The sequence below is a fragment of the Homo sapiens genome, chromosome 2 (assembly GCF_000001405.40).
Source record: "Homo sapiens chromosome 2, GRCh38.p14 Primary Assembly".
NCBI lineage: Eukaryota > Metazoa > Chordata > Mammalia > Primates > Hominidae > Homo > Homo sapiens.
This window is the reverse complement of record NC_000002.12, coordinates 207,150,124-207,165,253: the sequence shown is the minus strand read 5'-3', so window position 1 is coordinate 207,165,253 and position 15,130 is coordinate 207,150,124. Positions and strand designations below refer to the sequence as shown.

Here is a 15,130-nt window from a genome sequence, read left to right as displayed (position 1 = left end):
CGGTGCGAGCTGCCTGCGTTTCAGTCGCCAACACACATCCCTGCGCACACGTTGTCGGGTTTGCTGTCCCCTATCAGAGACCTGCCGAACTTCTGGGGTTCGGAGGAGCCGGGTGGGAAGGTGGTTTGGGGTGTTAGGAGCGATTGCTGACAGGGACCACGTTCTCGCATGCATGAGCTCTACCCACTTGATACCTGAAATCAGGTTCATCTGTTTCAACTGGTGCTTATGACCATCGGATGGGGGGCGGGGGAGGGTGGGCAGGAGCAAAGCGGAGTGTTTTTCAGTAATTAGCGAGTGTCAATAAAGAATAGGAGCTTGATTTTGAGATTAGAAGGTAGGCAAAAGAGAGAAGAGCCCACTGACAAAAGATACTCAAGGAGGACGGGAAGATGTAGCTGAGGCTGACAATGAATTGTAGGTTTTCCCAGTGTGATCCCTCCAGAAAGAGAACACCCTCTATGCGTGTCCTTGTTTCTCTTTTTTGTTTAGGGTCCTTCTCTAGTTAGGCAGCACAACCTCGGACAAAGGCTGATGTGTGCTTCCATGCCTTTGACTTTGTCTTAGAGGACTAGTTAAGAAACTCCCAGGATGCTGAAGGGCACCGATGCCAAGTTGGCTAGCCGTCCCAGGGAGGATGAAGTGGGGCTGGTGACAAGTTCACTGGGCTTTGTGAAGTGGAATAAAGAAAGTGCTGGTCAGTGGAAAGTGCTGGCTCTGCTGCGGAAACAGTGGTTTTTTTCAGCAGCGATTAGGAGCTGCTGAGGGGACATTCTGCAGGAAAGATGGTGGGTGGGGGCGGGGGGACACGGGTATTTAAAAATTGTACAGTGTGCACCATGGAAAGTCCAAGAAGACAGTCCGGATTTGCACATAGGAAGTGTGAACTTGTACAGTCCGTCCTGGAGAAACCCGCTTGCCCTTGGGGGGAGGGCTGTGAGAGGCTCGGTGTGTGGCTGCTCGTGTAATTTCTTCGCTTAGTGACAGCAGCTTGTTAAGGCTAATGAACGGCTGAATTTCCTCTGCCGGGATCCAAAGCAGGATTTGCCAGCTTGAGGCTGAGATGTAACAGTCTCTGCTTTAGCAAAAGAGGTTTGGCTTTTGGTATAAGGAGCCGAGTGGCAAGGCGGATCCTTTAACTGTACCATTGTTGCTAGTTCACTTCTGGTCAGAGGCTGTGAGTTTTCCTCCAGGTATTGGCGTCTGGTGTCTCTGTGTCCACACATGCATTCTTGTCCAAGGACGCTAGCAGATGCTTGACTCTGTCTCTCTGTAAACACATACACAGTTCACATATTTTTAGAATAAAGTCTTTCTTCAATGCATCCTTTTCCTTATCCTTAACGAGAGTGTGTCTCATGAAGGGTCTCACTGGATCTTTTTCTTCCTTTTATTTCCAATGCTAATTAAACCAAAATCTTCTGAAATAGCCTTCATTTCACACTGTCAGCCCACTGGTATGGAATCGGTTGCATATTAACAACTGTCTAGACAGGTTAGAGAAGGGAATCTGTTGATTTAGTCAGCCTGCCCAAGGCAGCCCTTGTTTGTGACTAACTGTTAAGCAGTGTTAGAAGGAAGAAAGTTGGCTTTATTTGTTAGAACGTTCCCTACTGATGAATCATGCAACTTTGTTTTGGTTCAAGTTTTCAGAGTAGTAAAGCCAGATTTGGAGGAAGGTCTCTTCACAGGAAACCTGCTTTTCTAGATCTGGCTAGACCATCCAGGACAAACTCTAGATCTGCAAAGAAACATCATCGGTTTGACAACTAGAGGATGTATTAGATCTATTGTTTCCTAAGAAGCCATCTCTGCTCTTCCTTCTCCCCTCCTCCCCCTGCTCCTCTGCCTCCTCCCCATTCAGGGAAGCTCTAGTTTAGTTTCTACAGGCAAAGGATTTTTCACCCCTCGGAACCCCCTCATTTTTTGCCTTAACCCTCTCCAACTGCCAGCCACTCTCACCTTAAAACCCTTAGCCAACTTATTCAGCGTCATGCTTATAGCCAATGCTGATGCATAGCTTGTGGGGAAGCACTAATAAACAATATATCACTCCAGTGAGCTTTATGTTCTGGACTCCGTAATCACAACTGCTCTATATAAAGGCGACTAGGACCATAGGTTTACACTGATGACAAAACCTTTAACCTCTAGCCCTTCCTTCTTCCCCCTCCCAAAACCGTCTTGCTGCTTCTGAGTATAAGGGGTGGTGATGGTGATATGCAACTGTTAGTTCCAAATCAACTATCGGATAATGAAATTTTGAGACTCTTTTGCTCAAAACAGCTCAACAGGGTTTCTGCAAAGAACCCCAGACAGGAAGAAGTTTCTTTATGCTCTGGGGTAATCAGATTTTAGAGGTCAAATGAGGAGTAATTATTAGATGTTCTTCTTAAAGTGAACAATGTACCTGGGCTCATGGAGATGAGCAAAATGTGGAGACTCTGATAATCTGACTTGGTTTCTAGAGAAAGAGTGGCTTCGATGATAAACTCAAGAACATTTTTACGTTTGAAAATTGAAGATAAACAATTTGGGGATTTTATTTTAAACTTAGGATATGGGATAATTGTCCTGCTTAATAGTCAGTGAGCCTGTGACAAAGTCACTGACTGTGGCAGGGCTCCCTCTCGTCACGGAGATCCTCGTTTTGACATTGGATTTTCTGGCAATGATGCCTTAGCCACATAGCTCCAAGTCTGAAAATAATCGTTGCTGGTATAATTCTGAAATCCAAATGGACATCACACATTAACAGCTCTCCATTCCTGGGCTCTGACTGCATACTTAAGCACTCGGCCCAAGTAACATCATCTTTCTGCCTGTCATATAACTGTAAATTACACTGTGCTTATGTGGTCTATTATTTTATAGAATTCAGCTGACGCGCAATTCTTAAGACTACCAGCCTTAAGCGCTTTGAAAACTTGTAGGAAAATTTCCAAGAGCTGTCTGAGCAAAAGTAGGAAAAGGTCAAGGGTAGGACAGAAACCAGAGTTTCTTATGGGGTACCACTTGATTATGAGTAAAGGGAAACTCATTCATGACTTTTTTTGCCAATAGAAATCATAATCTTTTTTTTTAGACACACTGCTGACTTGGAAAATAAAAAGAATTTGATACAATGCTTTTATTTTCTTCTTGAATATACAAAGACTTTTAGAACTTTTATATGTTTTATCTCTAGTCTGCTATTTCATGAGTGCAGGTCAAGCAGTGATGATCTAAGTCTTATTTGGACTTAGCTTTGCGTCGTGTCATTGAGGAGCATCGCATGTTTGCTTGAAAAGTCTTATGGAATTATGTTTGTTGTTAATGCTGATTCATAATTGGCAGATGGGGTCAGTTTCAGGCCTCTCTTTGCTCAGAGAAAATTTTCCACTGCTACTGGAAACAAATAAATAAATCATAGAACATTCTTCTCTCCTCCCCCATTCCCCTATTGTTTTAAACTAATGGCATACTTGGCTACTGTAAGGACTAAAGTGTCCCCATAACACTGCAATTTCATCTTGGTTTCAGGCACCCTGAAACACTTTTTATGAGGGCCTTTGGTATAAGGAATCTCTAGGGGAAAACGTACAGAAATGGTTGCATTCCAAGAACAGCCTCATGGTACCAGGGATGGGATTTGGTCTGTGAGCCACATTGCTTCTCCTTTTATGTGAAGATCTTGCCTTTGCACTTCCTTCTGCAGGCCTGGGCTGCCAGGTGCTATATCAGCCAGGAAAACAAAGCAAACTGTAGGGTCTGTCCATCCGTAGGTTTGCCTCAGTCCCCAATTCGCAGATAGCCTTGTCATGAATTAGAATTTCTTGGCAACAGCACCACCCAGGGAAATTTGTAGACACAAAGGAGCCTTGCTAGCCACACTGAAAGGATAAAATAACTGTTTTTTTTTGGTATGTGATTTGTGTGTTCTTCAGTTACTGTAAATCTGTTTCTTTATTTGAAACAGCAACTTGGTAGATGAAATAAAAATATAACTGCCCGTTACCCAGAATTTATCTTTATGAAGATGCAATCACTAAATAGATGTAACTCTACAAATGAAAGCACATGTGACTGCAATCAATCACACACTTAGCCTTTAATAGATTCATTTCCATGTTCCTTTAACAGACACATCTTTGTGTAGATTTAGGGGCTTCAAACATTATCATTCAGTCTACCTGTTTGCAGTTTGGTATTTTAAAGTGGGCAAACATTATAATGCAGTTATTTTTTACTACATCTGTCCTTAGTAGGGGGAAAAGGAGGTCACTATTCTTTGTTCTCCATGAACTTCCCACCCCCACTCCTTACCCTGAGGAGAATGGGATGTTGGGGTCCCATCCATTTAAAAGGCAGAGCAGAAGATGCAAGATGACAGCCTTGCCCTGAAATGATTTATGTATGGGTGTGTCAGAGACCTTAAGCATCCAAATGTGGGCTGCTTCTTTCTGCCAGCCCATTCTAAACATAAATGCCAGTGGGGGCTAATTTGCCTCTCTACTTAAATGGAGATAGTTCAGAGAGGGTCCTAATGGGGCCTTTAATAGCCATTCTTTTATGAATCTTCACATTGTACTCTCTTCAGAGAATTCTTGCGTTTTAACTTTTGGAGTACAAGAAGACATTGCAATCTTCTTTAATTGCTCTCTGTGCCTGTTGAGGAAAGAAGAATACAATTTCCTCTGGCCAGTCCCATCTGGCTCAAGTTGATAGGATAGCTGGTCTGATTCCAGACGGGGTCGGTGGATACCCCTTATCTTTTCATTTTATAGTATTGTGCAATGGGCTTTTAATTATCTTTGCTGGACCCCACGACTGGCAAATGCAGAAAATCGCTCTGTGATTCCAGTTCACTCGATATATCAGTTAGCCTATGTGTTAGAACTGCGATTTGCTGAAAGTTTAGGACAGCTCCCCAACTTAACTTGAATGGTGCCAGAGGGTGAGGGGCAGAGATTTCCTCTGTCCAGTAGTCCCTTTGTTCTCCCAAATCAACTGACTGCTTGCTTAGCATAAACGATTGGGGGTAGGGGGGCGGAATGTTTTAACCCCAAAATGCCGAATCTTACCAAGTACAGTGATTAGAAAACTCAACTACTAATGGTGTTAAAGTTGGTGAAACAAATTATAGTGTCTAATTATTCATGTTACATGTAACATTGACAAGTTAAAAAACACTCCTCTCTGTATACTCATTGTAGAATATACATATCCTTATTCTATCTAAAATTCCCCAAATAAACAAAATGTTGCCATTACTGGGACATGCTTTTACCTAAGATTGTTTGTGATTTTGCTGTGCCCCACCTTGCCCAGATTAGTTCCTGCTAATTGGCAGAATTATTTCTACCACCCTACATCCCTTTAGTTTTCCTTCTCGGGGTATTTGGTGTGACCCTAAGAACTTGGTCCCGTTTAAACGACTCATGTCCATCCCCCCTCCATTCGAGCAGTACCACATGCTTGATATATAAATGTTACAGCTGAGCGTTTGCAGTAGCCTTGAGATCTGAGTCTAGTATCAGCCCAAATGAGGTGCGAGTGACTTCTGATTTCAGGGGGATACCATTCTTCATTGAGCTGGTAGATGGACCTAGTCACACTTTGTGGGATTTTTGTTGTTTATATTCAAGTATAGAAAATATTCCACAGTAAATACTTCATTCCTTAAGCCCTTTTTATGTGCATAATACTGTATTTGGGCAATGCAAAATTGAATTGGATATAGAATCTGCCCTCTAGGAGCTTGACTGTAGTAAGGCAGAGAAAGCATGTTCAAAATTAAGTTAAACAGAATAGAGCATGAGTGCCAGAAAGAAGGAAAGAAAGAAAGAAACATTCAGTTCTGTGTTGGAACACTGACCTGTGCCTATCTGTATTACCCACATAGTTCCAACCTTGTTTATAAAACATACTTGAGATTTACTAAGTTCTGTTGTGAAAAAGCTTTCAGCCAATGTCATGTTGTGGGCTGGATACTTTTAGGGCAGATGAGTATACAATGTGAATACACATATCCATAATGGCCAGGAAACAGTGCCCATGTCTGTGCCATTCGGAAATGATTAGAGGTAATTAAAATAACGTAGAGCCATATGCGATATCTATTTTTGAATGTGGGTGTATTGACATTTCCTGAGGGTCATTTTGAAAGTCAGGTTCTCAGCCTTGTACCAAAGCGAGGAACATAGAATCTCAGAATTTCAAATCTTGAAAGGGTCTTGGTTTCCTCAACTCTAAAATACTGGGTTGAACTAAGTGATTGTTAAAGCCAGATGAGGCATTGCACTCTCCAAGGTCACACAGCTTATTAACACTGATGGTTTCAGGGCCCAGGACTCTCAGATGCCCAGACCAGTTTACTTGCTTTCTGTCACCTGAATATACCTTGACTCACTTCTGATTCTTTTCTCTTTCTTTTTTGCCTTCAAAGGAGGCAAGAAAATTCCCTTTTTACTTTTAAGACTACTGGTTCATGGAATTTTGGGATTGGCTAGGTTCTAGAACAAGTTATCGAATATTTTGGAGAAGGCTTACTTGTGTAATTTGATTCTTTTTCCACTTTTAATGTGTGCTAAATTGGAAAATATACACTGTACCGAAAAAATAGCCCCAGATTATAACTCGAGTCTTATAAAAATTATTGTCATTTAAATAATAACAAATGGAGTGGGAGTATGAAGGGTGTGCAGTGGGGCATATGTGGTAGGGGGTTGGATGGAATATAGAACTAGATGGAAGTAGAAAGCAACAAACGTGAAATTGCTTTGTTTCTGGCACCTCACCAACAAAGAGAGTGCCCGAAACTTTACCAGCAACCCATGTACCAGTTGATGAAAATCTTTTTAAATGTTTTTAAATTCTTGAGAGGGTTGTAATAAGCAGTAGTGAAGAAACTCAACCTCTGAGAGGTTTTTCAAAAAGTCTTTTGAGGTCTGATGGATGAAGTAGGCCTAATTTTTACCATTGTCCCTAATGAGGAAAGGAAAATGGAAGGCTCACTTGACTTTTTTGCCCCAGTTTTTCCCCAGTTACTTTTTGCCCTTCCCTACCTCCTTGAATTGGTAGTTATGATGGTGAAAGTTCTCTCCCAGAATGTGTCTCACAGATCTCTTTCACCTCTAACATCTTAGAGGTTAAAATCTCCTTCCCAGTTCAGGGCTTCTTCATCTCCTCACAGCTATACTCTACATCTCCACCTCCAGATATTTCCCTGGGTTTCAGGCCCTCATTTTTTTCTAACCAGAAATAAGCAACAAGCAAGATGGGCTTTGGGGTTGTTCTACCATCACTTCAGCTGAATATGTCCTAAACCCCTAACTCATCAACTTCTTCCACGGACTGCTTCCTTTTTCCTGGCTTCCCTATTTCTTTTAATAATGTGATTATTCGTCTCATGATCTAGGTTTGACATTCTAGTCATTGTAACTCCTTTCTTTTTCTTGAATCTAATAAAAAATTAGGTGAAAAGATCTAATTAGCGGAAGTCTAAAATTAGTTGAAAAATCCCACTGACTTGGCTTCTGAGGTGCTTTAGCATCAGCCTGTCATGGATGGCACCCTTGGCCATTGCCTTGCCACAATCCCTGTCACCTCCCTGGACTTGCCTTTTTGCCACCATCACCCCAGGTGGCCTGCTTTCAAACTGTTCATGGCTCCCTCTTATACATAGCATGAGGCCAAACTTCCAAGAGTCAGGGTGTTCCAAGACTGGGTCTACACAATATTTGCAAGTTCCCCCCTTTTCACATGTAGTAAATGCCATCCAAATTAAGTGACTATGCTTTTCCTGCTTCTGTCTTTATTTTTGTTGTTTCCTTTAGCCTTTTTCCTCTTCCTCCCTCTCCCCTTCCTGATTTTCTTTGTCCAAGTTCCACCCATTCCTTAACTTTCAAATGGGTGCCAAACTCCCTCCCTTGCTACCAGCCAACTGTAACTGCTATGATTTCCATACTCTTGTGCAGAGCTTTTTACTTCCCCGTGATGCTTTACAGTTTTGAGTTATAATAAAGCTTTTCTTTTTTTTTTTTTTTTTTTTTTACTTTTCTGTTGTGTCATTTTTCTTGTTAAGTTTATGCTTTAAGGAGTTGATGCCTTGCGTATAGTTTTGGTAGTCAACTTTTAATGTATCACCTGCTTCTTAGAAAGCTTTGCACACTGTGGGCACTCGATAGTTATTTGAGGAGCATGTTATGACTATGACTTAAGATTTGACTATGCCTTTTTCAGTGGTTCTCAATCGTGGCTGCACCCCAGACCAATAAAATCAGTATCTCTTTGGGAAGGACCCGGGCATCAGTGTTTGTAAAGCTTTCAGGCAATTCCAGTATGCAGCCAAGGCATTGAGCCATTGGTGTATAGAGGGTTTAATGATATGTCAGAGTTGGGGTTACCTGCTTCTTATATTGAAATATTTAATGACTTGTGTAATTTGGAATCCACACGGACCAGAGGTTTATAGTAAAACAGGATCATGCTGGTGGATGTGCTTCATCTGGCACTTTTGTTAATAGCAGCTGCCCAAGTGTTGTTTCATCCTTCTTGCTTTGCTTTCCCTCACCCTAAAGTGTCTAAGGCAGTCTGTTTGGCTCACATTTCCTGTGACCCATCAGGAATTTGCTTAACCTGGTCAAATTCCATATTTGGAAACTTTGTGGTGTTGGGCTTTAAACTCCAGCCTTGCTGGGTTTCAAACAATTCATTCTCAGTAGGCCCTTGGCCATGATTTTCCACTCACCTCAGCCTGCTCCATGGTTTGAAAGGGCTGGATGCATGCATGTACATCTGTTGGATGATGCTGGAGAGGCATTAGGTAGCAGCTCTCCATTTTCTTACTGACCAACCACAGTGTTTGGAAGTAGACTCTGTTTATAAAGAATTTCAGAGGATCCATCTTTCTAGTAAGAGGAGCAAAAATAAACTGTGGAAGAATTGCTGCTGAGGACATTCCGGCAAGGAGGCTGCCTTCACACCCATAGAAGGCTTAGCTCCTGTGGTAATGACTGTGGGCGTGTGGTGATCTTCACAAAGAAGCCTTAGAAACGCCTCTTTTTCAAACTGTGATGTTTGCAAAATTGTATGTCCTGTAGCTACATCCTTTCATCTGTAAACTGTCTTTGATGGGGGTATGGTTGGCAAGAGAGAACATCAGGAGAGGAGCTCAGAGCTCAGGGTTGAAGGATGCCTTTTGGAAAGCTCAACCCAGCTGTGAAAACGGCAATTAGCCGTGGAGCAATTGCCCTGCAAGGGAGTGCCCACCTGCTCTTGACGCCGTTCTCACATTCACCTTCCAGAGCCGAGTTAGCAGGAATTCAATGGAGTGGTCATAACATTGGTGCTTATTTTTGGAGAGGCGGCAAATTTGCTCAGCATACAAAGGAGTGGAAATAGATTCTTTCCACCCCAACACCCCCTGCCTTTTGAGCTTTTAGCCTTTGTTCATATGGGCACTACAGACCATGTTAGTGAAGTGCAGCTTCTGACTATGGTGTTGAAGGATGTCTTCTGTGAGGCCCTATGCAGAACTGATTCCCCTGAGAGTGATGAGATGCTGCTTAAGGTCAGACCTGAGTCGACTTCATTTCTTCCAAGATTGTTCAGCCCTAATTTGTACATTCTCCTCCCCTTCTCAAGGTTCTTGCTTTTCTTTAATACGGATCAAGAGATGATTTCCTCTGTGATGGGTCTTTTTATGTTTGCATATGAGAATGTAACAAACATCTGTGTTGAGCCTTTGTTCTGAAGGGCTCAGGGTGTTTTGCTCCTGGTCTTTTGTCATTGGCACATTCTTTCTTTAACTAGGGAGCAGACAGATATTACAGAATTTCCCATTCAGGGGTGAGAAAATGGGGCACAGGAAGCTTAAGCAAGTTGTCTTACTGTGGCTGCAAAGCAAATGAGTTGCAAAAAACCATTGGTGGAATAAATTTTCTCTTCCCTCTTTCCACTTGGCTAATCTTCCTGTCATAAAAATAACCATCATAGTACTGTCTCATATGTATCAGACACTTCCTAAAGATGATCTCATTTGAGCACCTGTATCCATCATTTCAATGAATGCTCACAACAGCTCTATGAAATGCGTATTCTATTTATCCCCATTTTACAGATGGAAAAGCTGAGATTTGAGGTATTGAATGGCTTGCTTAAAATCATACAACTTGGAAGTATTTGAGCTGGGATCCAAGCCTCAGCAGGGCCCAGCACTCTTAATTGTTACATCTATACTGACTGCTCTTTAGGTAGGGGACATTAGGGCAGAAGCCAAAGGTCGTGACCTGGCAGTCAGTGGCCCAGTATGGATTCCAGTAGTTCATTGGTCTGTCTTCTTTCTGGGCTTTGGTTTTCTTATCTGTAAAAGGACTGGACTGTGCGAGGCACTTTTAAGGTCACAGTGTTTCATAGTAGACAAATTACATGAAGGATTTGAAATCAAGCAGAGGTGGAACCTTGAGAAAGTCACTTAACATCTCTGAGTCTTGTTTGTCATTTGTGGAGTTCTTAATTCCTGATAAGAATCAGCTCTCTGACCTAGTGTCTGGCACATAACATCCACTCAACAAATGCTCTTTCCTTCCCCATTTTCCTCTCAATAATAATACACAGAGGCACAATGCTCTTTCTCTCAGTGGTGTCTTTCGTGTCTTGAAGATCCCAGTGAGCCTGGAATGCCCAAGAGACAATAAATGATGGAAGGCAGGGGAAAGCGGAATGCTGGGCATTGGATATGGTATACCTTTTATCCATCCACAAGGGAAACTTTCATTAAGTAATTTGTGCTTGGAACTGGGGGAGGACTAGCAATACCCTTTGTGCCCGGAAACTGGGCCTAGTTTGACATCCTTGGAATTTGCTTGGCTTGTTCATGCAAATGTCCAATCTCTTCCCCTTTCTTTCTGTCCAGTCTGACTTATGACTTACGTATCTTATGTTTTTCTAGCATGCAGTTATTTTTTTTAAGAGCCAGAATTAGGCATATATAACATAATACAGTGCCGGTTACTACACCTGCCATTTCTGCCTTACCTGATGACTGAGCTTACTGCAGCTTATGAGAGTGAATCAGGTTTTATGAGATCTATAAATATCTCAGATCGGATTTTTATTTCATTTTCCCCCTTCAAATAAGACATAATGGAAGCACTCACATACATAAGGAATATTCTTTCTGTGATAAAGTAGGGTGTTTTTGAATTGGCCTCTGAAAAGCAATAATTTGATGTGGTTGTTCCTGTTGAGAGTTTTATGGGGGAGGGGAAGAATCATGCATATGCTGCTATAAAACTCAAAAGATTATATCTTCATATTTAAGGTTTAGCCTAGCACCTATGGAGAGATTTATTTCAGAGATGCCAGCCCTGTGTGAAGGCTGCATTCTCTCCTTCTGTAGATTATATATTTGTGTTTTCTTAGCTACAGAGAAACCAGGGAAGGAAAGTCCCATTGGCTAGCAGGAGGTGGGCTCCCCAAAGGAACTTTTCAGTTCTTTGTCTAGTCTCTTTCCAGCTGCCCCAAGGGAGGATGTTCTCATCTTTCTCTCTACTTCATGATTTTCCTGCAAAGATTTTCCACTACTTGATATATCTCACTGAGGTTTTTTTTTCCCCTGGAATTACACTTAAGAAAAAAAAAAAGATTCTTAATAGCCAATACCAGGAATGGAAGTTATTTTTCTCACTTTGCTCTTTGAGAAGCATCTAGAAGGAAACTTGAACACCTAACTTTAAAAAATATATTACAAAATAAACCATGACACAGCCATGGTAAGTGTCTCACTTTACCTCTCTGTAAAATCAGCTCTGTTTGCCATGTCTGACTCAGGGCAGTAAATTTAACTATAAATTTAACTATTGTTTTTGAGAAACAAAATGTCTGACTCTGAACCTTTCATTGTTGTTGTTTTTTCTTTTTTAGTACGACCTCCCTCTATTTCTTCCCCCAGTTCTCACTAGCTTTGTGTTTAACTAGATGATAATTTAATTTGTTCTTAAAAGAATAAACCATGTGAACTGAGTATACCTGAACCAAAGGTGTGCGGAGGACTTTGGGTTAATGTCATTTTTATTTTTGCTGTTGTTTAACATCATCTCGGTGTGTAACATAATCCTAGCACTTTGGCTTTGCTGTATACACTCGCTGCTCTGTGGTTATCATCAAATGATGTGACTTCTCTAGTCCTCAGTTTCCTCATGTGAACAGTGTAGGTAGATTTAGGAACAGTGAGATTATCAGACATACAAACAGTAAGCTCCTAGACTGAACTGGCTTGAAGATGTGTTTTATTTGGCCGGCATGCATATTTCAATTCCCTTTAATTTGAATGCTTTTAGACAGATCGTGCACTCTTCAATTAACCCTGTCCCCACTATTTCCACCTCGCTTAATTTCTGATCTCTGGCCCAGTGAGCATGCATTTGGGCTTGTGACTAGCATCTCTCTAAGGCACCTTCCGCTCCAAAATGTTCTGATTTGGGGACAAGCTTTATTTATCAATCACAGTCTCAAACTGGCTTGCTTTCTGCTCTCACCCAGAACCATTTTCATTTCCTTTTAGATTTCTCTGCCTTGTTGAGTGTCTTTGTTTGGGATTCTATTTTATAAAGCAATTTCCAAATCGCATCTCACTTTTTCCTAGTCATTCAGGTTCTGTTGTAGATCATCGAAATCTGGGATGGAAAAGACCATCTGGTTCACCCCTCCCCCTGCCTGGGCTTAGCAGTTGCTCTAGAGCATGTTCATTCCTTATTGGTATTTGTAACATTTTCCAATTTGGAAACTGACTGATTTTCCTGAGCATGCAGCCTCTTGGTCTAAGTGGGAGTAAAATGAGACAATACCAAACAATTTTTTTTTCCCATCAGACATCCCTCATTAACAAAAAAGCCTGCTATTGTCACAGTTTCTTTTGCCACTCCCAGAGACCCAGCTGGTCAGTTGTAGTAAAAACTCCGTGTGTGTGTGTGTGTGTGTGTGTGTGTGTGTGTGTGTAAGAAAAACATGTAACCAGTTCTTAGTTTTCTTAGTCTGACATAGAAGCATGTTGTAGAGAATTCCATTAACCGCTGTAACTGCTTATTTTTTTGTGGAAGTGGATTTTATATGACTTGTTTCACTGAGGAAGTGATGCTTTTTGTGTGAAAAAGTCCAGGGTATTATAATAAAGTACTTTCCTGAGAATCAAGTAATGTGTTTTCTTCCTACCCTTGGCACTCAAATACTGCCAGCAAGGCACTTGGCCTTCCTTTTCTAATGCTTTTAGGATGCTATTCTACATTAGGGGTGTTTTTAAAAAGTGTTTTCTTTTATATTGGCTTTCTTACATTACTAAGGATATCATTTAGGTTGACCAGATGGTGATTTTTAGGGTCATTCTTTTCCTGATTAAAAAAAGCCATTTAAAAAAATTACTTGCTGCTGGGTGTTCCTCCATTTTTCCAATCTCCGATTACTTTTTTTTCTTTTTAAAAAATTTTGAGTGCCAAATAAAGGCCCAAGATTATTACTATTTTGTGTGTGTGTGTGTGTGTGTGTGTGTGTAAAATTTTTCAAAACCAATGACTATTTGACTGTGTGAATTAGCTACTATTAAAATATTTCTGAAAAATATTTCTAAAAAGGAAGAGAGAGAAAAAGAAAGGGAAAGGCAGACATTATGTGGTCATAGAATGTCCTTGCACAGTTTTCCCTGCAAAAGAGAACCAGAATGCAAACCAGTTGTCCTCCTACCCAAGATGCGCCTGCCTTTTTCCTCCAGCTTTTGCACCCAGGAGCTCTTTTTTATGCCCCATATTTATAGAGACTAGGACTTCACAAATACCAGAACTTGAGGAGTATTAGACATCTCTTTCCGATCCCTCCCCCCTGCCCTCCTCAATTTGCGGATAACTGGCCTGAGCTTCAGAGATCATTATTTAAGCCCAAGCCAGTATTGGACCCTCAAGAATTGTGAGCCTCCTTGCAATATTTTAAACATATTCACATGTTAACACAAGGCATGGTGCAACATGGCTGAGGGAACTGCTTCTCGAAGGGTGGGCTGAGTTCCACAGGGCTTCATAAGCGCAGTGTTGATAACACAGAATTACCTCGGGAGGCAGTTTTATTCCCATTGCTGTTTTCTTTCAGTCCTTTTAACTCAAGGAGACAGTCAGCTTTGAGGTGCCATGTCTTTAACGCCTCTCTAAGGCTTGGTAAACTCTCCTCACCCCTCCTTTTCACCCTCCCTCCCTCCCTTCCTTTCTTCCTTTTTTTTTTTTTTTTTTTAATAAAGAGAACAGGTCTTACACTCAGAGCTTTTGACAGGCAAACCTCCAGTTGAAAGTTTGTAATATTGTTTTGATTTTGTTGTTTTTAATTTTATGATTATCTTCTATTAATGAACATTTGCAGGAAAAGAATTTAAAACACATGCAGCCTTAATATATAATGCCTTAGTGAGGCAAGTAAAAATGAAAACAATAGGGGAATGATTGTACAGATGGAATGCTGATTTGGTAAAAATCCGTGAAGGTGAAATGAAATTGAAGTTTGAAAAATACCGGTGTCGTGGAAAATTCAAGGGATTTGGCATCAGAAAACCTGGAATTTAGTCCTGACTTTATCAGTATAAAACAAAGCAAATTATTAAATTATATTTCCCATATGAAGTGCAGGGCTTATGATAGTAGGATTGCTCTAATCAAATGCTATATGGATGTGAGAGTGCTTTGTAAACTGTTACATGCTGTACGGTGTAATTGTTTTCTATTCTGCAGTGGGGGAGGCTTTTGTTTCAAGCCTTAAACTATCGCTTCTTGTTGGCTTTCTTCCTCTTTATGATTTCTATTCAGTTTTCCGAGCAGGAACTTAGTGACTTTTTATTTGTTCCAGTGGGGCTGTTACTTGAACCTTAATTGTGGTACTTTGAAAAATTTCCTACTGGTTGTCTAAATGGGGACGTAAAACTTTGTAATTTATTTCGTGTGTATTCATGTGTGTTTGCTTTAAGCTAAATTTTGCAAAGTAAACTTAGTCTGTGGAATACAGTATTGTATAACTATTGGATAGATATAATATGCTTCTCTTTAGTTTTTAAAATACATTCTTAACAATTGTATTTTACCACATTCATGAAACAATCATGTGCATTTGTATATGT

The 15,130-nt window shown here is 40.9% G+C and overlaps 1 protein-coding gene across 14 annotated transcripts in view, besides 3 other annotated features; it reads left to right on the top strand.

Annotated features, from left to right (window-relative positions):
* The window catches only part of KLF7 (KLF transcription factor 7), a 99,715-nt gene that overhangs the window by 8,598 nt on the left and 75,987 nt on the right, over nt 1-15,130 (top strand). The gene's annotated exons all lie outside the window — the stretch shown is intronic.
* Nucleotides 296-1,004: an enhancer, noted in NCBI's record as "H3K27ac hESC enhancer chr2:208028974-208029682 (GRCh37/hg19 assembly coordinates)". NCBI's record gives its function as "activates a minimal SCP1, AML or CMV promoter by ChIP-STARR-seq in naive H9 embryonic stem cells {active_cell/tissue: H9 hESC(naive)}" and the evidence as "EXISTENCE:reporter gene assay evidence [ECO:0000049][PMID:30033119]".
* Nucleotides 1,005-1,713: an enhancer, noted in NCBI's record as "H3K27ac hESC enhancer chr2:208028265-208028973 (GRCh37/hg19 assembly coordinates)". NCBI's record gives its function as "activates a minimal SCP1, AML or CMV promoter by ChIP-STARR-seq in naive H9 embryonic stem cells {active_cell/tissue: H9 hESC(naive)}" and the evidence as "EXISTENCE:reporter gene assay evidence [ECO:0000049][PMID:30033119]".
* Nucleotides 8,105-8,284: a silencer, noted in NCBI's record as "silent region_12271". NCBI's record gives its function as "represses an Ori minimal core promoter by ATAC-STARR-seq in GM12878 lymphoblastoid cells {active_cell/tissue: GM12878}" and the evidence as "EXISTENCE:reporter gene assay evidence [ECO:0000049][PMID:35858748]".